The sequence below is a fragment of the Homo sapiens genome, chromosome 9, assembly GCF_000001405.40.
Source record: "Homo sapiens chromosome 9, GRCh38.p14 Primary Assembly".
Lineage (NCBI taxonomy): Eukaryota > Metazoa > Chordata > Mammalia > Primates > Hominidae > Homo > Homo sapiens.
Genome location: NC_000009.12, coordinates 72,226,699 through 72,252,253, shown reverse-complemented (window position 1 = coordinate 72,252,253; position 25,555 = coordinate 72,226,699). Strand labels below are relative to the sequence as shown.

The following is a 25,555-nucleotide window of genomic DNA, read 5'->3' as shown; positions in this document are numbered from 1 at the left end:
ACCAAACAGAGAGAACTCACAACAAAAAATAACGTAAACACAAAGTCTCATTTATTTTTGTCTGAAGCACACAGGAGCTCACTCAGCACAATAACAGTAAGCGAATCATACAAATATTGAGAAAAAATGTTCCTATGAATACATACATGTATATTCTTAAGAGTAGCGATCAGGAGTTTAACAACAAATGTAAAGTGGTTTTCTCTAAAGAATGCTTTCTGACAGGCTTTTGGGTTGGAAATGGACAGGTAAATCACTGTCACATAACAGGTAAGCTAAGAATAACTTCTGTTACCCAAGTCATTTGAACCCTGTGGACTGTGAAAGCCCTCTTGGAATTTACATTTAATTCCATCATTGGTCTGGTTGACTTCCACATTTCACTAAATTTGGACAAGATCCACAAAGTAACTCCTCAACTCTCAGTCTTTCACACTCAGGTCTGTGGGAAGGAAAGGCAGTGAGACCAGGTGTGAACACATGCACGGAGACCAATGTTAGGATTTTCTAACAGTATCCTTCTGTTTCTGCACTTCCAAAGTCATACCTAAACTGGCTAGTATATCTGAAATTGCTAACATCTCCTTGAAGCTGTCCAAAAAAAAAAAATTTTTTTTCAACAATTCTTAACAATCCATACAATTTAAAAACCATTTCAAGTCATTGCCTATAACACTTCTTAGTTTACCCATTAATAACTCACACCATTGCTTTTAAGCGTGTGAATGTTTCCAGCAATCATCAACTTTAAAAATGGACAACAATGAAAAGATGTCTAAGAGTCTCCAGAAGCATCCAAATTTTGGATCTCTCCTACGTATAGCACAAGGTAGAATTGATACAATGTGCCTTCCAGCTTGCCTTTAAAGCTCTCCATATGTCTAGTTCTGAGGTGAAGAGATTAAAAATAGGAAGAGCCTGGTAGGGAGTGAAGATTCAAAATGCATTGCTAGATCTCACACCGGTTATATTTCCTCTCTAAGATCTCAGCTGCAGTTGCCAATGGGGATATTGAAGGGTACACTTTAAAGTTGGCTAAGCATTACGGGGAGAGTTTCCCACCATTTCTTTCCCTTTAACCTGTAAAATTCTTTCTGAAGTAAAAAAGAGTTTTAATGGGGGCTCAATGCTCACAGTATTAACTTAGAAAGACCCTTGGCATGAAGGGAGCCTGTTCCAATATCTCCTCTTGGGGTCTGATAATTCAATGAGAGAACCAGCCAAGAGAATAAATTAGGGAACAGTCTCCTTGGTCTGTTTAGGACAACCTTTCACATCCTAATCTTTTACTTCCCATGTTTCCCTCTCGTTTGAAAATGAAATTTACCTTAGCTGACTAGCCTGCTTTTGTGTTCTGGTTGCAAAAATATTTTGTGAATTTATGATAATCGATACTTTTGAATTGTTTTTACCTTTCAAAGTGTATTCCGTTGAAAATACCATGGAACATTAAGGAAATGGTGGAGGATGGGGTGAGGAGGCTGGTAAGTGAATTGTTTCTTTCCTGTCAGAGAGCAAGATATTAAAACAAAAAGTGACAAATAAGATTGGCTTGGAAAAGTGCCTCTCCACAATTCAGAAAGTCAACCTACATTAGGCAAAGGCAACATTTCAAAGTGCAGAAAATCTGGCCCCAGGTATAGATAATGCCTGTGGTACAGAAAAAAAAGCATACATAACATTCAGGAACACCGCACTTGGAGAAATAAAACACATAAGTTATAAGTGATGTGGAGAGATCAAAGTACATATAAATATTTCAACACATCCTATTTTTACTAGGAAAGATATTCAGGTCTTAACACACTATCAGAGCTAAATTTAAATGTTTAACAGGATGGTTGTATACGGCCATTCCTACTGCTTCTGATGCTACACTTATTTATATTTACTGCACATGAGTCCTAAGTCTACATGAAAACTGATGTTCAACATCAAAATGTACACCCTTAAAGAAGGTAAAAGTGTAGGATCTTGCAAATGCTAGAAGCAGCTACTGCCTGTAAGTGAATCTTACACATCTCATCTAAATTCCTAAGCCTGCTCATTTGGTTAGACACCATGTAATCAAGTTCCTTTGGCAGGGGTTGAGTGATAAAGCTGAAGATTTTTGCTAGCCCCGTAGAGAAATGGGGAGAAATTTGGCAAGGCATCTTTGACGTGGCTCAGGAATTAGAAATATTGGAAATACAGACTAAGACTGGAAATTGGGTTTACTAAGATACTTATCTCACAAAACAAACTCTGTTGTTTATTAAAAAAATAAAACTAACTTTTGTTCCCTCTTTAGGTGTCATGTATACATAATCAAATCTAAAAGTATTTCTATTAGGGAAAAAACTGGGCCAATTACTGCTAAATTAGCTAAGTATGTGAAAATAAAATTTATACTACAGGAGGGGGAACTGTGTTTTTTTGTTCTGTAAATACGGAGTTAGCTATATTACATAAAGTTTCTACTATAAGGTAATATTAAAGAGTCACCCCTAAGCTCTAGGAATGAGTGTTATAATATATTAAGAAAGTCTATTCCTTTTCCTTGCTCATTTATAGTATTTGTAATTAAATAAGAAAAATATAGAATTTAAATAACATTCACACCAATACTTAAAGATTTATCATAAGGTCATAATTTGGTTTTAATTCTAGGTTATGGAAGCATAAAAATAGTCTTTGCTTTGTAATGTTCCTAGATGTCTAGTAAGAATTAAGTCCTATTAACATAAATATTAAGTAGGACATTATGTACTCTTCATTATCCTAAAATTTTAATATCCTAAACATTATAAGGAGTTAAACAGAAAACTGGATAAAATTAGAAAATAGAGTGCTTTCAATACACAGGGTTTAAAGATTTTTAACAATATTTCTTTAACAGGATTTGTCCTTCATTTTAAAGTTCTAGCAGACTGATATCTGAGTATGGAATTTCCAGAAACTACAACATATTGTTTGGGTGGAATAGGCCATGGCAATGGAACCTGTCCTGTTAGTATTGGCGGCTCCTGGATGCCAGCATTTGCCCCAGTTCACGAAGACTCCAGTCTACATAAATTCCATAAAGCATGGAATTTGTTTCTCTTCTAATAAAATGGAAGCAATAACATCTCACAGTTATAAGTTGATTTTAAAGTACACAAAAATACAACTATTTATGCCATGGAGTTACATGAATAATATTCCTAAGAGACTTTAAATCTTTAATACCCAACTTCTGTCAAACACTTTGAAGCACAAAACTATATTATGAAAGCATGTGGCATTCAATTTCTGACATTCATCGCCAAAGAAGGCAAAGCACAACACTAACACATCTCTGAAATGCAAATTCCATTAAGTGCAAATTTCTAAAACACAAGGTCAACCTAGAAACACGTTTTAAATTTCAACAAGTTCTCTTTTTAAATTAGTATGCTCAGTATATAATTTTCAAACACAATCTGAAGTGATTTTCTAACGTTTGTTCTCAGTCTAACTTTTGCTCCCTCATAAAAATATACTCTCATGGGTCCATTTTCAGTCTTCTAATTTTTGCAATTATTAGCTCAAAATATCTAACCTTTTAGGAACATCTTTTCTTTCCACATTTTCAAATATGAAAAAGGCTTTGCTTAAGTCTTACCGTAGGAACACCACCAGTAATAGCATTCCCTTCTGTTTGAGCTTAAAGTAAGTCTGAGCAGCTCCAAAGGGAGATATTTTCATGAAATTTATGAACCCTCTCAACCAGAGTTGAGAATTAGTGCAACTTCCTTCGAACTATTTGTCAAGTGAATACTGTAACTAGACACAGAAAGGGATAGTCATCCCAAGAACAAGGTACTATTTTTTGACTTTCTAACTCCACCTGGGCACAAGGGAGATGCAGAACCACGCTAATCCCAGGAGAACTTTGTAGACGCCCGAGGGTCTTACACTGAGCTGGAAAACGGAACCACCTGCTTTCCGCCCACATAAACCTCTTCAATATTTCGATCATCTCCTGAAAGAAAAATCAAGGAATCATGTATAAAATCCTTTTGTGTCAATAAGTATCTTCCTTGCCATTGGGAGAGATTTTTTTTAAAGATACTTCTAGGAGAGGAAATACTAAAAGCTGCTTTCCCCCAACCCTCAGATTGTTTATAATCTGAACAGGAAGATATGACTAGTAGAAAATGCCATAGCTAATTTGATGATTAGGGTCTGAATTCTGCACCAGAGGCAGAAATCACATAAAGTTGAATCAACCCCCTATAGCTGTCCTTTCTCAGCTGAAGTGGTTGGTTTACATTTTGCCCCCACTGAGAAAGAAATACTACTCTTTACGCTCCAGAATCAGCTCCACAAGAAGTAACACATGCATCTTTCCATCTTGAGTTCACTCAGTCCTGGGCTCACTGAACAGAATGGGAGGCAGTGTAGAATATTCTGCATTACTGTTTCTCTCTCTCTCAGTGAATGGAATTGAATGTGAGTACATCACCAGCACGTGTGGTGAGACTCTACTATACATTTGTCACAAAAACATGGCAGGGCAGTATGTCAGATACCGAATGAGTACAAGAGGGTTGAACATGAAGATCTCTTCACCTTTGGCCTTCCATTCCTCAGCTTAGAATTTATGACTAGAGGGAGTCATGTGCATTTCAAATAGAACCTTTAAATAATGTGCCACCAATGGGCTTGATGCTTCAGACTGTTAAAAAAATAATGAATCAAAGCAAATTATCATCCACAGAGTTTAATATATGGTAGGATAAATACATAGAGCCATACCCAAGAAAAAGACAGGGAAAGGTTCTATTTAATATTTAGCATAGAGACATGCATCTACCTACCTAGATAGAGGAACTTCTGGATAACAGCCTAAAATGGAAAATAAAAGTAATAAGAAAGACTCATTTGTGCATTTAGAAAAGTAAATTCACAGCTGATAGTGGTTGACAAAGCCCAGAAATACGAATTTGTTTCTCAATGGCAAAATCTACTTCTATTAATTAAAAAAGAAGTGGCTATGTGCTTTATAAAAACCTCCCAGAACAAAAAATAACCCACTGGCAATTAACAGAAGTTTACCTATTGTGTGAAAGTTCTGGGTATGTGAATTTTGAGTCATCAGAGAAAAGGTATTATATAAATTAAAGAAATTAATTTAGTAAAATAATTCAAATATTTCAAGACGGGTATGATGTAAGACAAGCTCATCCAACCTGCCTTATTTTGTTGTTGTTGTTCTGTTTTGTTATGTTTTGTTTTAGGCTTTTAGCAGCCTGAAGCCATGGTTTTTAGTTTCTGTCTCTACTGATAAGCAGAAAAGAGGGATGAGGGAGGGGGCTTTACTGGCACAACCTGAAACAGAAACTAAGAACTCCCTTGGACACCCCTGATATAAGAAAAATCACTAGGACTATTCCCTAGAGCCCTATTCTTAGAAATTTACTCTAATCAGAGAGTAAAAGAATAAGCAATATGAAAATAATGAGGGGGTCAGGACACGCTACCCTCAAATCAAACACAGGAAGGTCACTCTGACCCTCCCCTTACCCCTTACCCCAATGCAGGTCATAAGACCATCACGTAAGGGGTGCCCTCCCTATACCTGATCTCTGAAGCTAAAGGATCACAGAGAAGAATCTGAACAAGCAGGCCTTGCTAAGTTCTCTCTAGCTTATTACCACTGGACCACACTCTTTGTCCTATCATATTTCTCTACAACTTTCCACTCTTCATCAAACCTAGCATAAAAATATCCAAGTTTACCTGTTTCTTGGGTTCTTCACTTCCTTATGAAGGCACCTATGTCACATAAAATTTATATTAAATAGGCCGGGTACAGTGGCTCACGCCTATAATCCCAACACTTTGGGAGGCCAAGGCAGGTGGATTACCTGAGGTCAGGAGTTCAAGACCAGCTTGGCCAACATGGTGAAACCCTGTCTCTACCAAAAATACAAAAATTAGGTGGGTGTGGTGGTGGGCGCCTGTAATCCCAGCTACCTGGGAGGCTGAGACAGGAGAGCTGCTTGAACCCAGGAGGCAGTGGTTGCAGTGAGCTGAGATCATGCCATTGCACTCCAGCCTGGGCGACAAGAGCAAAACTCCGTCTCAAAAAAATTTATATTAAATAAATGTGTATGCCTTTCTCCTGTTAAATCTGTCTCTTGTTATAGTGACCTCAGCCTTGACCCTAAGATGGGTAGAGAAAAATATATTTTTCCTCTTTTATAATAACAAATGGTACAAACTTCATATAATACAGAATTTTTCTTTTAAAATCTTTAACATATTTATTATCGCAATTACTCTCACAAGTAGATCAATTTAGAAATGGCAATACTTAATTCTTTTTTTAGGAAGAACTCAATATCTTACAAGGAATTATTTTTCAGGTAAGATGAACTAGTTTATTTTATCCATAGAAAAACATTTTATAATAAGAGAAACAAAGTTCATTTTCTTATAAAATTAAAAACATTGACATAGCATAGTGCTCAAGAGCCTCGCCTCTCGTAGTCAGAAAGTCCCAGGTGTGAATCCAAACTCTACCTACTAATCACTGGCTATGAGTCTTTACGTAAATCACTTAGCCTTCCTTAAGCCTCACTGCCCCTATAAATTAACATGGCAATATTAATAGTACCTACTCTCTTAGAGTTGCTCTGATGATCGAACAAAATTAGGTATGGAAGTGCCTAATCCCATGCCTACCCAGCACATAGCAAGTGTTCAATGAGTGCTAGTTACATTATGGCTGTTTGTAGCCAAATACATTCAAATACACAAACACATTCAAAATATAAAAGTTTTGTTAACACCATTATTCTTAACATTGCTGTCATAAAATTATAATAATTATCAAAGGGCTCTAGCGTCCATTTTAAGATTTTCCTGCATTCCATTAAAAAGTTTCGGTTTCTATTTTCTTTTCTACAGGGAAGCTATTATGACGACTTTATGAAATAAATGCCTTTTGATTAACTTTCTTTTACTTACCTCAGAAATATCACCAAAAAAGTCCCCATAAAACAGGTCAATGGGAGAGTCGGATGCTTTGGGGTTGATCAGGATGGCATCAAATTCCTTGCCCACTTCAAAGTTTCCAATCTCACCATCCAGCCCCAGGGCTATTGAGAACAAGTGAATAAACAGTCAGGATTGCAAGCCATCAGACCACACTAATGTCTCAGTTTGTAAGGACAGATTTTGCCAACATGTCGCTAGGAGAAAAAAAAAAATTAGTATCTTAACAGTGAGACAGAAAATCACTCTCATTCTAACAGGTCACAAGACTTCTACTTACATAAAGTGGAGTAAGCACAGGAAAGCAAAATCTGAGAATGAAAACAATTCCCTTCATTACTGTATCATAACTCTGGTATGTCTCTATTTCAGCTCTATCAGTGCACTTCATAGCCCAGCTGGTCTATGCTTTTCATTTATCCCTCTAAGCAACATGATGATTAACATAATACCTTTATTCTTTTTCCCTTCTATTCTCCCCCAACACTCCAACTCCTTGCCTTGCTTTTTTTTGTTCTTTCTGTTCCATGAAATAGCTGACAAGATTTATTTTCATGGCAGTGAAATGAACCTTGAATAAATAAAAAATAATTATCCTTTTGCATATTTGTCAATGCAGGCATATCCATCAGAAATTCCTTAGTTTAAATCCTTTGAATGGAAAAAAAACCTCACTTCTCAAAATGAACAGATTCTCATAACTCAAAAGTCTCAATGCTTTTGAAAACAGACCAATCTCTTTGCAACCTCAAAGGTTTTCTGGTCACCAGAGAAGAATGGTCTTCTAAAATAGAGCACAGGCCAATAATATCTATTGACTTGGCTCATCTCATAGCTACAATTCATGTTCCAAGATTATTGGATATCAAGGAAGAACATCTCTCATTATTATGATTTAGTTTCAGAAAGATGGGGGTAGTTGGCTTTCTTCGCCAACAGAGGTATTGGCTCTAAAGTTCCTTAAAGCCTGTAATCTGAGGAAGGTGTAAACTGGGGTCACAAATGGAAGCATGGAAGGTTAACTGGAGTGCAGTATTATTTATTTCAATTTTCTTTCTTTCTTTTTTTTTTTTTTGAGACGGAGTCTTGCTCTGTCGCCTAGGCTGGAGTGCAGTGGCGCAATTTCAGCTCACTGCAAGCTGTGCCTCCTGGGTTCACACCATTCTCCTGCCTCAGCCTCCCGAGTAGCTAGGACTACAGGCACCCACCACCACGCCCGGCTAATTTTTTGTGTATTTTTAGTAGAGATGGGGTTTCACCGTGTTAGCCAGGATGGTCTCGATCTCCTAACCTCGCGAACTGCCCACCTCGGACTCCCAAAGTGCTGGGATTACAGGCGTGAGCCACTGTGCTCAGCCTTATTTCAATTTTCACATGTATTTGTTGCATTCTATCACCGCTAAGATAAAGTTTCATGTGAAAATATTGAATCGACTACCTTTGTTAGGCAATATCTAATACATTATATTTCTACCTATAGGTATCCAGAAGTTGTGGCATTTCTCTAAACACTGACTCAGAAATCTTACTTGTTCTTAAAAGATTCTTTAAAGGGCAACTCTTTTATTCTCAGAAAAGAAAAATGGCTTTTTAGCTAAAGTACTCTCTTTAGCAAGACAGGGGTATGAAAATAATCCAAAATGTTAAAAGGAGCCAGGTGACTTCTACTAATTGTATGGGAAAGGACTGAATGTAACAGAAAATCACTGGAAATTCTCTCCTCCTTCACTGATTACTTGACTTCTTTTTGCCCTTGACAAAGAAACATGTCAAGTATGAGTTTTTAATGACTGAATTCAACTGAATTAAACTGAATTACTGACTGTGCATTTAATAGGCCAGATAACCAGGTGCAGTGACTAGGGTTTAGGCAAGTTTGATGGTATATATAAACCAACTGGGTTATTCAGTAGAGCCTGGAGACTTCAGGAATGAACTAACCAAAAAAGACACAATTCTTTTCAGTGAATTTGTAAACTGATATAAATTCAAATTGTTGCACAGAGATCCCACTGGGCTGGTAAGTGACTCAAATGCATTTCAGGAAATAGAGTTTTGATGCCTTTGGAGTAAATGTTGGTTCTGTGAAGATCATTTCTGCTCATCTTGATCTTCTTGAGAATGAATGTAAAGGCCATGGCAGTTCTGGGAAAATGCCACACTTTAAATACAGATCCATTCATCTCATTTTACTCTGACTATAGTAGAGAAACAAACTAAGGAAAAGAAATTCCATGAGTAAGCCCAGTGACCCAGAAAATAGATTTAAAAGCTACACAGCAAAGTAGAAATGATTTGGTAGGCACCCATGCTGACTTGATCAAAGAAACAGGATCCTGATGAAGTAACTTACAGAGAGCCCTAGAATTCAAAAAGCACTCTTTAAATACAACTCGTTTGTACCACAAACATAGATGGTAGAATAACTACTCAAACTCAGATTCAGATGTGAAAAGACAATGGTGGTGTGGGTGAAAGGTTGTAACAATTATTAAAATAGTGGGTGATTTGAAACTTGGGATTTTGGAAAATGAACCATAATACTTTGGGAAATCACAAAACAAAACAAAACAAAAACAAAAAACAACATTGTATTTGCTTTTCTTGAAATGTGCTTATGGTGTTCATCATAGTCCCCAACACTCAGAGAACATCTGAGAAGTTTCTCTTCCCAGGATAATCTTGGCTTCGGTCATCCTTCATTTGTAAGACTCAGGGTATCTATCATAAATCTACACCCAATATGTTTCTAAATCTATATCTACATTTTAATTTCTCACTAGCTACCTATGGTTTCATGCTGTGTTTCACTATCATCCATTCTGATTACATGTATAATTCTAAAGTGACTTAAAGAAATACAGTGACCAATTTTTATTTTTTTCCGTAACAATACAGTTACACGTGAGAATTGGGAAAAGTTGATGAGCAATATTTGCATATCAACCAACTAAATTTTTACATCTTTATCCTTTTAAAGAGTAATTAGTGTACTTAAGTATATGAACCAAATGCATGGTCTTGGCAGGGATTTATACAGGAAGATACTGTAGTGGAAGGGCAGAAGGTAAGAAATCTGCATGCTGGCATCAGATTAGGTGGATTCAAATCATAGCACACTGTGGCTTGACAGCTGTGTAAGCCTCACTCAGGCTTCTTGTTTGTAAAACGAAATGAATAACAGTGGTGGTGAGGATTAAATAACAACACATATAAAGTATGTGGTATGATTCTTATCACAGGGGAAGAGCTTAAGTAAGCCTTGGCTACTATTTTACTATTATGATCATCACTTAGGCCACTGGAGAGCAAGTTACTTGACTTAGTGGAAAAATGGATTCTTTAATTTATTTATTTGGAGACAAGGTCTCACTCTGTTGCCCACGCTGAAGTGTAGTGGCACAATCACTGCTCACTGCAGCCTCTACCTCCCCGGGTTCAGATGATCCTCCCACCTCAGCCTCCCAAGTAGCCAGAACTACAGGGACACTTCACCAAGCCCAGCTAATTTTTGTATTTTTTTGTAGAGACGGGGTTTTGTCACATTGCCCAGGCTGGTCTCAAACTCCTGGGCTCAAGCAATCTGCCTGCCTCAGCTTCCCAAAGTGCTGGGATTACAGACGTAAGTTACTGTGATTCTTAGGTACCTGGCCTAAGAATGGATTATTTTAAAGCACTCATATCCATGTAACCAATGTAATACCCATTAAAACAATTAATATGATAACTGTGTCTCAGACATCTATTCTACCAAAGACAGTGAATTCACTAAGGAATGATTCCTCCTTCAGTGAACTTCACTTTACTGGCTGAGTTCTGGGTATGTTACATGAGATGTGATCATCACAAATATTGGATTTTCCTAATACCAATCATGCATCTTCATACTACATCCAAAGACACCGATCAGCATGGTTGTATATTGTGTGAGAGAAAAATGTAAGAGTCATTACCTTGGCTTCCTCCAAGAGTAGCTAGTCTGAAGACTTCTTTGAGGGTGAGGCTTTTCTCATTTACCTTATTAATTAAAAGGATATTGGAAACCATCACTGCTCTTCTGATTGCATCAAGCATGGAATATGAATAGCCACCAGCCACGTCTGCAGTAGGTAAAATAAAACCAAAACAGTAACCTTGTGAGGATAAATGGAATAATACATATATAACATTGTTTTTATGACAGATATTCAGTCCTTAATATACTTTTTTTAAAAAGCTCTTAACTATAAACACAAGATAGTCGTAGACTAAGATTTAAAGCAATTCAAAATCTGTAATTAGTGTCAAATGCATACTTGTATTAGTTTCCTACAGCTGCTGCAACTAATTATCACAAATTTTCTAGCTTAAAACAGCAGAAATTTATTCTCTCACAATGTGGAGGTCAGAAGTCTGAAATTAAAGTGTTGGCAGGGCCATGATCCCCACAAGAGCTCTAAGGGAGAATTCTCCTTTGCTTCTCCCAGCTTCTGGTGGCTCCTGGTGGCTCCTGGCATTCTTTGGCTTGTGGCAGCATCACTCCAATCTCTGCCTCCATCCTCAAATAGCCTTCTTCTCTTCTCCCTGTGTCTTCTATTTGTCTCTCTTTTCCTGTCTCTTCTAAGGGTATTGATCACTGGATTTAGGACCCACTCTATTTTAGAATAATCTCATCTTGAGATCTCTTCCTTAATTATATCTACAAAGACCTTTATTCCAAATGAGGTCACATTTACAGATTCTGATAGACATCTTTTAGGGACCCACAATTCAACCCACCACAATACTCAAATGGTTTAAAGAGCCAAAAGAAACTCTTATCTCTGAAGAGTCCATGAACTCTCACAGAAATTGTTGAAATATGCCTGCATAGTTATAAAGATAATTTAGATAATATGTGGTTTAAAATAAGCTCATGGTTCTATTCACTAAAAATTTATCCTAACCTTGTTCTAATCCAGATGAGAACTTTGGGAAATTAAAAAGCCACTTCTTTGTAATTTTTATGAAGAGCTTTTAGAATAAACTTGTATATTTTGGGAAATTAGTGTAATAAATGAGCAGTGCTAATGTAGACAGCTCTATATTTTGGTAGGCATCATTAAATGAAGAATGAAATTTTAGTGATTTAAATAAAGTCCCTAATCATAATCAAATGAAATACTACCTTTAACAAGAATGAACATGGAGTTAAGTGAGTTTGTATAAATAAATTTCAAGTAAGTTAGTATGTTTTATTAAAGAAAAACACACTTATAGCTAATAAAGTAAGCTTCATATTTCAAGTGTTCCTTCTGTCATTTCTAGGTAGACATATGTAATTGTTAGTGCCTCTATATATGTTGCCAAAACAAAATAATTGCCTATTTAGTAGTAATTCTAGATTGTAGCTCAATTTTATGTTCAACTATCCTACATGTCCTTAAACTTGTATTTAAATTAGAGAATCACCCAGCTCTCTAAAAAATTTCATTACATCTACTTAAGTTACTAGTCTGTGTTAATATGTAGTAACCATCCCTTAAATCTTCATTTTTATCATAGCTAGGAAAACAAATACTAAGAAAACAAATACAATTTGGGAACTACACACATTAAGCTTTGAAATAGTCTGTCTGCTGCTTCCTTCTTTATTGCTAAAACAACAAAAATGTTAAATATAAATAAAGGTGGAATAAAAATTATATCACTATGTGGTATAAAATATGTAAAGACTAACTATATTTTATAATATATGGGTAACGACTGGAAGTAAACATAGAGAAATGAAAGCAATGCAGTTGGGATGGTATGAATATGGAAGACTTAAATACCTGCAGTTTTAAAAATAAGGTATAAAATATAACAGAAAGTAGCATTTTCCTAAATACCTACTCAAAATTAACCTTACAGAAAGAATAAGTATAAATTAGGAAATAATGCTATGCAATTTACTGGAAAAAAATTGAGAGATGCCTTATGATGTTGATTTAATCATCCTATATTCTTCTGGTTGCCAATGTTATGTCAGTAAAATAACTGTAAACCAAAAAACAATTTTGTGCTCATCAAAGAAAGAACTCTGGGCTGCATAATTTCATGGTATTTAGTAAGAGTCAAGCCTTTTTTTCCAGGGATTTCCACTGTGACAGTAACTTGCCGATTCTTCCCGACTGGATTAGCTTTGTAGTTTTCCCCTTCCATCTACAACACATTTAATGTAGGTGGAATCCCTACTTTGTCATATGGCTAGAGGCACTGTGGTAGGATAGAAAGAGAAATCACGAATATCTACATTTTACAGACCTGGTTTTAAACTGTGCGCATGGAACTTTTTGCTTTGCGGACCTTTGATCAGTTACTTAGGACCTGTGAATCTCAATTTTCTCAGAAAATAGAAATAACATCACATATCTTAATAATTGCAGAGAAAATTCAGTTACATAACTGAAGTGCTGAAGAATGAGGACCAAAGGGTGGAAACTGTGTGGAGGAGGAAGGAAAATTGAAGCATTTTCTCAGAAGATCTGCCCCCTTACCCCACTACTCCCCCAGGACCATCACAATGAAGATGGTATCATTACTTGCTCGTCAGAGCCAACATTTGGACACTATTATTTACAAGAAGACTCTAACAAAATTATGCAAGAGCAAAAACTTAAGCCAGAGGACAATGGAAAGATTAAAAAATGATTTCATAGGTATGTGCTCATTTCCTATGCATTCATTCACTTATTCAGCAATCATTTACTACACTCCTTGCATGTGCTTGATTTACTTAAGCACTTGTAAATAAAACCTATGGGCTTCCCACATGAGCAAGTTAACTATCTTGTTGGGGAGAAAGAAAAGAATCATATAAACAGACATATATTAACAATAAGTTGTTTTCACTTTAGTGATAAAGAAAATGGAGATGAAGGGCCCATTTTGATAGGATGGTGAGGGAAGACCTCTTTAAGGCAATGACATTTAAACTACAACAAGGATGAGAAGAACTCAGCCATATAAACAGAGGCCAAAAGGGCATTCAGACAGAGAAACAATGCATACAGGACTTTTGAGAGAAGGGAGTATGATTTATAGAGAGGATAGTCAGGTTATTCATAAAAGCCATATCTATTCATAAAAGATAGCCAGGGTGAGGAGGAGAGAGTAGTGTGAGATGAGGCTGGGCAGTGGATGGGTGTCAAACCATTGCAGAGCTTTGTGGGCCTTGTAATGAGCCTTACACACTCAAAATCGCATTGAAGGGTGACGAGCACAAGGGGGTGACATGATCAGATTTTCATTGTGATTCTTTTGTAAATCACAATGGACTGGAAGGGCCTAGGATGGTATGAGACCCATTAGGAAGCTGGTGCAGCAGTTCAGCAGGAAACGATGGCAGCTTGCATCAGGTGGTAGTGACCAATGAGGGGAAAGGGGATGGTTCAAGGAGATACTAAGGAGTCATGAGGTTGGGCATTGTGCTGGGGAAGAAGTGAGGGAGAAGAAGGTCCCAAAGATAATGATCAAGTTTCCAGTTAGCAAAAATGAATTCTCTAAAAAGGAGAGCTATTTTAGAGAACTAGGTTTAAATGTGTTTTGGGATAGAATGAAGTTCGGGGGTTCCTTCAGGAGGGGTCTAAGAGAAGGGAGAATGTAGTCAGTTGAAAACATAGGTTTAGAATTCAGAGAAGTCTGGGCTGGATATAAGAACCTGTGTGTCATCTGAGTATATTAAATCACATGAAGCCATGGTTGTGGATGGCACCTCCTAAGAAGAATGTGTAAAGTCAAAGAGACTGCCAAAGACTGACCCTTGAAGCAAGCTTTCAAATGGCCCAGAGGAAGAGAATCAGCCTTCAGAGAAGAGAAAGAAGGGAAGAACGAAGGTGCTTCATAGGATTCAAGATAAGATTACTTGGACAATGGAGAGAACAGTCAATCATGGCAAATACTGCTGACAAGTCCCATTGGATGAGGACAGAATGGCATCCTTTGGAGTTGGCAGCAGAAATTCCAGTGGTAATACCCACAGGAGAAAAAAGCAAAAGCAGTTGTCACGGAGGGTGGGGCAAGAATCCAGACTGAAGTTGGTGGAGGAAGGGAAAAGGGCCTAGAAAGTGGTGCCAGTGTGGATCCCCACTCTTTGAAGAAGCTTTGCCATGAAGGGAGGCAGACAGGTGGAGCAGGAGCATGAGGGGGATGTCTGATTAAGAAGGGGTTTTGTGCCAGGCGTGGTGGCTTATGCCTGCAATCCCAGCACTGTGGGAGGCCAAGGCAGGTGGATTACCTGAGGTCAGGAGTTCAAGACCAGACTGACCAACATGTTGAAACCCTGTCTCTACTAAAAATACAAAAATTAGCTGGATGTGGTGGTGCACGCCTGTAATCTCAGCTACTCGGGAGGCTGAGGCAGGAGAATCACTTGAACCCTGGAGGCTGAGGTTGCAGAGGGCTGAGATCGTGCCACTGCACTCCAGCTTGGGAGACAGAATGATACTCCATCTCAAAAAAAAAAAAAAAAAAAAATAGGAGTGGTTTTGTTTCTTTGCTTAAAAGAAGATACTAGAGATGTTTGTGTACCAGCAGGAATGATCCAGCAGGAAGGAGACACTGATGATACAGGACGGTCTATGGCCAAAGGAATTAGTTTATTGAGATGCTGGGAGAGGGAAAGAATACAGAACACACGTCGGGGTATTTTGGTATTTTTGCCTTTGATTGGAAGAAGGGTTTTGTTGTTGTTGTTTTTGCTGCAACAGGGCAAAGAAGAGAAAATCCCAGCAGATGCAGAAAGGTGTGTGAATTTCGTGGTGGGAGATTGAGGGAAGGATTTCTGGTCGTTTCTATTTCTCAATAACTTATGATATGAGGGAGGCCTTAAACTAGAAGTTGGGGTAGAAAGTTTAAGAAGAAATGAGAAAACGCTGTCTTGGAAAAAGGAGATATACGCTTATTACAGACTAATAACTGTCTCTAATCCCCAAGCGGTGGGCCATTTGGGATTTGAGAACAAAATTTAAAATGAAAGCCCACTGGAGGATTTTCTCCAGCAACCTCCAGATGCTCCACTGCAGGCACTGAGAAGGGGACTTTTGAGATAATCAAGGGTGGAGCTTTTGCAATGTGAATACAAAGAAAATGAGGGGAATATGAAAAGCGAGAATGTTTCCAAGGAAATGATTATAGTGATGTACTCTGACATCTAAGAATTCGAATTAGAATAATGGATTTTGAGAAAGCATGGAGTCATTGGACTAGAGTCTACAAGAGATCAAAGAGCTGTTGTTTTTGGAATAATGGAAGAAGTAAGTTAGGATAGGGAATTGTCACTGAAAAGTGAGGCACTGGCTCCATGTATGTTGCTTGTTTTAATGAGTTTATAGGTCTTGTTTAGTAAACTTGTTCTATATGTTTAAATTTTTCCTTCAGATGAGTGTTTTTGGTTATTTGCTATGTTTTCTTTGTTTTTATGGTTTTTTTCATATTTCACATAGGAGGTATCCTATCTTTAAAATTCTTCAAGTAGTTATCTCTAATATTTTTATACTGAAAAGTCAAAAGTAAAATATGTGCAATTCTCTTTTTTCTGAGACAAGGAATTTTTTTTTTTTTGAGTCTCTCTCTGTCACCCAGGCTGGAGTGCAGTGGTGCAATCTCGGCTCACTGCAACCTTCACCTCCTGGGTTCAAGCAATTCTACTGCCTCAGCCTCCCATGTAGCTGGGACTACAGGCACATGCTACCACACCCAGCTAATTTTTGTATTTTTAGTAGAAATGTGTTTCACCATGTTGGCCACTTGCCAAATACATCCTCCTCTCAGCCTTACACATAAACTACAACTTCTTGGGTTTTGTTAATAAAATTATAAGACAGAATTATGTATTATACTTGGAAAATTCTTCCTTGGCAGAGCATATATTATTTTTTAAAATTTTGTGATAAAATACTGAAGACATTCAAATGACATAAGGAAAGCATAAAACCAAAACTCAAGGACCTAACACTCAGTTTTTAAAATAAGTGCCATGTATTTCGGTCCCAGGAACCTCTTTCCAGCCTGAGGGAAACATCTTCCTGATTTATGTTACCATTCTGATAGGTTTTTAACATTGTGCCTATTCTCTCTTGAGATATATTTTTGGCTTTTACTTTCATTTTTTAAACTCCTTTACAATTCTTTGATCTTCTTATTCTGATTGATGTTAGCTTTCCATGACATCATATTGTGCCATTATTTCCCCCCATGGCCCTTCATTTGCCTCATCTTTCATTGAATGATGTAGATTTTCAAGTAAGTTTTTCAAAGGGTTCCTAAGGAAAATATTTTCCAAGTTTTTGTATAGCTGAGAATTTTGTTGCCTTCCTACATAAAGGAGAATTTGGCCAGATATATTATTCTTGGCTAACACTGCTTTGTCTCCAAACTCTTTTCTTGCCTTTTGGTATTTTGTGTGCCAACAAAAACATCTGAAAGCAAACTGGTTTTTAATTGTTTTGTTGATAATTGACTTTTTTCCTTGTGTCAATATTGTAGAAATTTTTTTATTGTAATTAAAATATTTTGTCACAACATGTTCAGTTACGATTTAGCGTAAAACAGGGTAAGCACTTGCAAGGCAGTTCTTTCTTAAGCTCAGAAAAGATTTACCCTTCAAAGCTCTGACTATTGCATCTGTCCCATTTGTTCTGGGTGCTCCATCAGAAAAAAACCCCATGTGTTGGCTCTGTGGTTTCTGGGCTTCACATCGATCATCCTCAAACACCTTCTATCATCTTTGGTTGATTTTATTCTCACATCACTGATTTGATTTTCTGTAACAATAATTCTGCTTCTCATAGCTTCCTACAGGGTTGGTGGGTTTGTCATTTTTTTAACTGAGGTATAACTAAAATATCATAATACATATATAACTTAGATGTTCAGTTTGGAGAATGTTAACAATTATATAGCATTAACTATTTTGCAAAAAAACTAAGATATTAAACATTTCCATCACCCCAGCAAATTCCCTCATGGCCTTTTCCTGTCAATTCCCCAAATTCTTACCTACAACATTTGGCAACCACTTTCTGATTTCTACCAATATCAGTTAGTTCTGTTGGTCTGTGAGTTTCATACAGATGGAATCATGCAGTGTGTGCTCTTTAAGCCCACACACTGGCATATATTTACCCACATTTTGCATATATCTGTAGTGTGTTTTTTACTGCTAAATAATATTTCATTATATGAATATACCTCAACTTGCTTATCCATCCTCCTGCTGATAGATGTTTGGATTGTTTCTGGTTTGGGGCTATTATAAATAAAGCTGATATAAACATCCTCATACAATTCTTTCATTTATTTATTAATTTAGGGACAGGGTCTCACTCTGTCACCCAGACTGGAGTGCAGTGGCATGAACATGGCTCACTGCAGCCTTGACCTCCCAAGCTCAAGCGATCCTCCTGCCTCAGCCACCCAAGTAGCTGGGATTACAAGTGCATGTCACCATGCCCAGCTAAGTTTTGTATTTTTTGTAAAGACAGGGTTTTGCCATGTTGCCAAGGCTGATCTCAAACACCTGAGCTCAAGCAATCCTCCTGCCGTGGCCTTCCAGGGTGGTGGGATTACAGGTATGAGCCACTGCACCTGGGCCTCATACAACTATTTCTGCAAACATATATGTTTATTTCTCTAGGGTAAATACCCAAGAGTAAAATTGCTGGGTCATATGTAGACGTATATTTAACTTTAGAAGAAACTCCCAAAACATTCTCCAAAGTAGTTGTACCATCCACTCTCCTTCCATCAGTGTATGAGAGTCTATGTGCTTTTTAATCTGATTTTTTTCAGTTTTCTTCCTTGATTTCTAAAATTTCTACCACAATCTTTTCATAGAACCATGATTTCCTGTACTCCAGGGATGAAGGCAATTTTCTGAAATTTTCTTCTGGATCCTAAAGCAGATCATTTTCAGATATTTGTTCACATTCTTATTGTTTGTGATATCACTTTATCTTGTTTTGCTATATTTCTGTTAAATTTCATGTGGGTTTCTTCTACCTAATATTTGTGCAAGTCAAGATCTGCCTGCACTTGTTATAGACAGGGTGTGTGAATTGCTCTTGGACTTGCTCTCTATTCATAGTATGAGGTATAATAATCTTCTAAAGTTTACAAATTGAAGGGTAAATTGATACACAAAAGTCACGTTTAGGAAATAGTAGAGTAGAGGGTGACTAAATTGCAAAAAGGACTAGGTAAAAATGAAACACCATCCTCTGAGTAAATAAGCTAATAGGTCATATTTATTCAAACGTTTGGTCAATACACCAACTTCGCCCTTTCCTTTTTAAGCCAATCTTGATTGATTTGTGTCATGTGCCAGGCAGGCACTGTGCTAACCAATTTGCATGCATTTTAAAGTTTAATTCTCTAAACAGCTTGTAAGATAGACATAGTTGTAATTGCTAGTTACTATTGTTGTAGAAATCAGGAAATGAATCCTTGACTAAAAACTACTAGAAAATTAATTTTCTCAAGGTCTTACAGATAATAAGTGACAGCTAGAACTCAACTTGAACTTTATAGACCATCACTAAACAATCCAAAGTCAAGAAAAGGAAGTCATGTGATGAACTTAAATTATGGAGACCAAAATCCTAGAATATCTGAAAACAATATCTGACTGATTTTTATGTGTCTGCTAAATTTTTCATATTAACTGACTATAGTGTGTAACCAAAACTCTTGGCCATTTTTTTCTTATCCCTTGAAGCTTTTTTGTGAACATAAAATCACTGGTTTCCTCCTTTAACACCTGTGACTTTATGTAGAATTATCACAATCTTGATGATTTCAGGCTTAAATTAGAATTTTCAAAATCTTGATTACTTTGATTCCCATAAAATAGGGAAAAACTTCTAATCTAATATATACCTCTTTCAAAATATCAGTAAAATCATTATGCGTATTATTGTGTCTTACCAGTTAATTACTTTGTAAAATGTCTCACTATAACAAACTGAGACTTGAGTTCCTGCAGAAAGTGATGAAAACCACCAGTGTCAACATGCATACAGCCTGATGCTCTTAAATATGAGGAAGATAAAGGCATCAAGAACAGAAAACACGTCCTCCTGCCCCATACCCATTAAAAAAATTTTTAATTCAGTCATTCAGTCATAAAAGAAGCCTCACAGAGGACACCTAGAAATTTGGGCCTGACTCACACTTTCGAAGCAAGCAACGCTTGCACACTCTCAAGAAACACAATTAAAATGTACTGTGAAGAAAGGAAACATCACTAATCCGTCACTAATTCATATGCACTTAGAACATCCCTCAGCCTAGTAGACAAGCAGACTGCCTGTGGATATGGAGAGGTCTCATTTGGCTAAACGTTGCTTAAAAGCAAAACCAATTCTTAACATACATCCGAATTCTCAATTCTGTCATAGATTGAATCTGTGCTCACTATGGCAAGGACAAAAAAATTTCTTTTGAGACAGCATTTGTAATGACAGTTATTGAAAACTAAAAATATAGAAATCCAAACCATTAAAACCTAGCCAGAAGAACAAAACAAAACAAAAGTCAAGGACTTTTTAGAATACCTCTGAAACACGTCAGAAGGAATTAATCATCCTTTATAGCCTAATCTTTGAATAATAAACAGGGATAACAGCTTTCAGGAGGTCAGTATCATCAAAACTTCTCCCTTTGCATACAATTTCCTTTTTTTTTTTTTGAGACAGAGTCTCGCTCTGTCACCCACGCTGAAGTGCAGTGGCGCAGTCTCAGCTCACTACAAGCTCCGCCTCCCGGGTTCACACCATTCTCCTGCCTCAGCCTCCCGAGTAGCTGAGACTACAGGCGCACACTGCCACACCTGGCTATTTTTTTGTATTTTAGTAGAGACGAGGTTTCCCAGGCTGGTCTTGAACTCCTGACCTCATGATCCACCCGCCTCAGCCTCCCAAAGTGCTGGGATTACAGACGTGAGCTACCGTGCCCGGCCCAAAACTAATTTTTTTTTTTTTTAAACAGAACAGTCACCTGCAAATTAGTCACATTAGAAAATTACACAGTAATCAACCACTTTGCCATAGCTCCAAATGGTGAACTACTAACCTGTACCCAGCCCTATCTTGACTTCATGTTTCAGGACTTCTAGCACATTTAGAAATCCACTGCTGAGCCTGTAGAGAGAGGAGATGTCAGAACAAGGAGATCCATGTGGTTCCAATAAAAGATGAACACTAATAACAATGACGGTGATGCCACTGAAAATTGTGCTTCCCAATATATCGGCTCTAATGTTGACACAAACATATTAGTCAAATCAGACCATCCAAGTCCTGGAGTAAACAGGATCATAAAATAGCCTAATCCTTGGGCCAAGGTTAATCTCAGGTGGGCACAAAGCAGCAAGAGCCAGAAGGAAAAGCAGGGGATCGTTTGTATGGGAAAAAAATGAAGAAATCAAACTTTGCAATTAATACAAAAGTCTTTTATCTGTCTTTAATATTTTCTAACCAACACATCTTTTTATGTTAGGAAGCAGAAATTATAAAGCATTACCTATTCTCTCTGCCTGGAATAATTTGTTACCCTGAATGAGTAGTGACTTTAAGATCGAAAAAGGGGAGTACAACTAGAAAAAGGGGTGCAGCCTAAAAAGTCAGGACCTGACTGTTCAAACGCTGCCTCTGAAGACAGAGAAAGTAGGATAGATGGTTCCTGGGCTGAATTTGGGACCTTGTGACTCTGAGCTAAAGAGATGTGCCAGCCATATATATATATATATATATTTTTTTTTTTTGAGACAGAGTCTGTCTCTGTCATCCAGGCTGGAGTACAATGGCACAATCTCAGCTCACTGCAACCATCTCCTTCAAGGTAGGTTCAAGCGATTCTCCTACATCAGCCTCCCGAGTAGCTGGGATTACAGGTGCCCGCCAGCATGTCCAGTCTCTACTTTTAGTAGAAACAGGGTTTCGCCATGTTGGTCAGGCTGGTCTCGAACTCTTGACCTCAGGTGATCCTCCCACTTTGGCCTCCCAAAGTGCTGGGACTGCAGGCATGAGCCACCATGCCCACCATGTGCTGCCTTTCTAAAGAGACAAAGGAAAACTAAGGTGATCCTTAGAATTCTAAAAAGTTGCAAAGGTCAAAGTGGTTTGCTGGAAGATGCACATAACTCTAATTTTGAAAGCCCTGGTGCATACATAATAAATCTCTCAGTTGCTGGAGAAAGAACAGCAGTGACCATTTAAACAGAAATGTGTCCTAAAGAAATTTAACTTCAAAACTCAATTTGCAAAGCTAGATTATGCTTTAATTTAGAGGATATTAACACCCAATGGGTGTTAAATCCTTCCACTATCAAGTAACTAGACCCTAATTATAGTCACTAAGCTGTACATAGACAAGATTCCCTGTGTCACTCCTTTAAGTCTGAAAACTCAGAACCTCTGGGGTCCCTAAAGCACTCCAGAAATATGTCACTGTGGCTCTCAGCACCCTTCCCATAATGACACTGACATATATCTTTGTAATTTGCAAAGTCCCTAGATTTCCAACTGTGAATGCCTCCAGCTCTTTGCCTAGGAGCTTTCTCAGCTCTCTCCTGTGCTAGAGCCTGCTCTGCCCTTGTTTGGGGACGGCCAGAAGTTCCAGGGAATTAATACTCTTCTCCACTCTGCCCAGGAGCCCTCAACAACAACCCATAAGCATTTGGGTATTACTGTCACAGCCAGCTCCCTCACTTCTTGGGCAGGATAACTTTGAGTTCTGTTTTGGACACTGGTTACCTGAGTTTTCTATTAAATAGAAGGATTAAACTCCGGGAGCCCACAGTGGTAACTTCCGTGATGATACGATCTTCACTGACTTCTTTCCCTTCCCTGTTTTACTTCCCTGAAGGTTTTGTTTGTTTGTTTGTTTGTTTTGTTTTGTTTTTGAGATGGAGTCTTGCTCTGTCGCCCAGGTTGGAGTGCAGTGGCGCGATCTCGGCTCACTGCAAGCTCCGCCTCTCGGGTTCATGCCATTCTCCTGCCTCAGCCTCACGAGTAGCTGGGACTACAGGCGCCCGCCACCATGCCCGGCTAATATTTTTTTTTTTTTTTTTTTTTTTTTTTTAGTAGAGACTGGGTTTCACCGTGTTAGCCGGGATGGTCTCGATCTCCTGACCTCGTGATCCGCCCACCTTGGCCTCCCAAAGTGCTGGGATTAGAGGTGTGAGCCACCACGCCCGACCCCTGAAGTTGTTTTCTGAGATTACAGCCACAAGCATGGGTTTTTAACCTAGCATCCATGGACTGGCATCATGAGATCTATGAATTCCCTGAAATTAGATGCAACACTTGTAATATCCATGGGCTTTTTTCCCCTGAAATTACAGGCTATAACTTATTTATTTTTCTGAGACAGAGTCTCACTCTGTCACCCAGGCTGGAGTGCAGTGGTGCAATCTTGGCTCACTGCAACCTCCGCCTCCCGGGTTCAAACGATTCTCTTGCCTCAGCCTCCTGAGTGGTTGGGATTACAGGTGCCTGCCACCATGCCCAGCTAATTTTTATATGTTTAATACTGATGGGGTTTCACCATGTTGGTCAGGGTGGTCTTGAACTCCTGACCTCAAGTGATCTGCCTGCCTCTGCTTCCCAAAGTGCTAGGATTACAGATGTGAGCCACTGCGCCCAGGCAATAACTTTCATTTTATTCATTTACGGATCCATCACCTTTCAAAAGGTTAAGAACCAGTTAATAAATAACACCTCTGTATTCTGGGGAATTATAATAGGACAAGGTCCTCCTGGGCTTGCCTGTGTGGGCTGGCATTCCGTCAGGTCCAACAGGGTAACATACATCATAGTGCATTTGCTTTGGTATTGCTGTGTTTCCTTCTCACACTACAGCACAAACAGTAATGGGAGTGACTACCCTCTTCTGGATTTCCTGGCTGACATATGGGTTCTTTCAGTACTTTCACTGTAAATTTTTTATGTTGTATTCCCTATTGTCCTTTTTTTGTACAAACTCAGAGATTTCAGAAGATGCTGTGCTCTTCACGTGTCCTCTGAGATAAATGTCCTCTTACGTGTTCTCTTTTACTCCTCAACAGCACGAGTAAATGTCTATCTATCTGGGTCCTGCCAAACACAGAATAGAGGGGAGATCCTGGAGGAATGACAGAGGAAACAAAGGCATTTGGCTGCTAATCTGCAACCCAATCATTCGTAATCTACCAAACAATCATTGTCTACTTACGATAAATTAGAATTGGGACAGTGTGCGATGGATGCTCCTCGTTCATGGAATACGTTCAGTTCTTCTGCAGAGAGGTAGCAGCCGTGTGCCATCACTGTCTGGAGAGAAGAGTGCCCTACGTGGAGTTTACCGCTCACAAATGATTAAGTGGGTACTCACTCACAAGGTATTTTAGAGAGAGACCGAAGCTGTAGCTTGGCTGTTAGCATCTTCACAAGAACATTTATGATGATCTATATGTACAAAGTTGCTAGGTACAAGTTATACCTTAGAAAAGGCCTGTAAACACATTGTCTTACGAAAGTCTCAGGAAATTTGTGGAGTTTACTTAGATTCTTTTTGTTGATCTATAAAGTAATGAGGGTTTGGTCCAGGTGATCTACAGCACAGAATATCCATCCAGATGGAAGATAACATGATTTTCTCATCTCTACTTTAGAAGACTGTCAAGTTACTTTCTTTTCTAAGTTTATATGGGAAGCAACTGGTAGTGTTGTGCTTGCTCCAATTCTAAAAAAACTTTCTAGAACTAAAAGTCCCTTCTCAGTATGTGAAAGCTGTGAGAGTAATCCTGCAAAGCGCTGTTCTTTATTTCTGCTCCTAGCTTCAATGTAAGTGCCAATGGCCTTGATATTTTCAACTAAATAAACTTTTAACTCACCTACGTTTATATTTTCATAAAAACTAGGAAATTTAACATCTTATAATCATTAATTCAGAAAGTAAAATTGATCCAAGAAAGCAGGCACTGCACACACATGAGACCTCTCTAAATTTTTAATGTTGGTAGTATTTATTTGTAGATTTTCTTAAATAAGACTTTACTCTTTCAAAATTATTTTTCTCTCAGTACAAAACCTGTACCCAACTTGCTTTCCCCTTTGAGAGGCACGGTTCAGTGACTACAGAATTATTATTTTTCTGAGACAGAGTCTCACTCTGTCGCCCAGGCTGGAGTGCAGTGGCGCAATCTCGACTCTCTGCAAGCTCCGCCTCCTGGGTTCACGCCATTCTCCTATCTCAGCTTCCCGAGTAGCTGGGACTACAGGCGCCTGCCACCACGCCTGGCTAATTTTTTTGTATTTTTAGTAGAGACGGGGTTTCACCGTGTTAGCCAGGATGGTCTCGATCTCCTGACCTCGTGATCTGCCTGCCTCTGCCTCCCAAAGTGCTGGGATTACAGACATGAGCCACCAGGCCCGGCCCAGTGACTACAGAATTATTATTAAAATATAACTTTCCCAATCTCTGTTCAAATAAAATTAACATGCAAATGGAAGGTTAATTTATTAATCATATGGAAAATATATAAAGAATGAAAACTATGGTGTAGCTTTTACAT

The 25,555-nt window shown here is 38.1% G+C and overlaps 1 protein-coding gene across 39 annotated transcripts in view; it reads right to left on the bottom strand.

The window, feature by feature from the left end:
• GDA (guanine deaminase) overlaps positions 1–25,555 on the bottom strand; it is a 145,262-nt gene that overhangs the window by 7,616 nt on the left and 112,091 nt on the right. For 12 of the 39 annotated variants that reach the window (XM_017015338.2, XM_047424104.1, XM_047424109.1 and 9 more), the window contains 7 exons: positions 24,214–24,311; positions 21,073–21,140; positions 10,956–11,102; positions 6,976–7,106; positions 4,821–4,848; positions 3,916–3,982; positions 30–1,504 (listed from right to left, as the gene is read on the bottom strand). In XM_017015338.2, coding sequence (XP_016870827.1) covers positions 1,450–1,504; positions 3,916–3,982; positions 4,821–4,848; positions 6,976–7,106; positions 10,956–11,102; positions 21,073–21,140; positions 24,214–24,311 — 594 coding nt within the window. In that variant the 3' untranslated portion in view covers positions 30–1,449. Of the gene's footprint in view, positions 1–29; positions 3,983–4,820; positions 4,849–6,975; positions 7,107–10,955; positions 11,103–21,072; positions 21,141–24,213; positions 24,312–25,555 lie in introns of those variants that run through there. The other 27 variants (XR_001746423.3, XR_007061376.1, XR_007061377.1 and 24 more) reach the window with 10 other exon arrangements.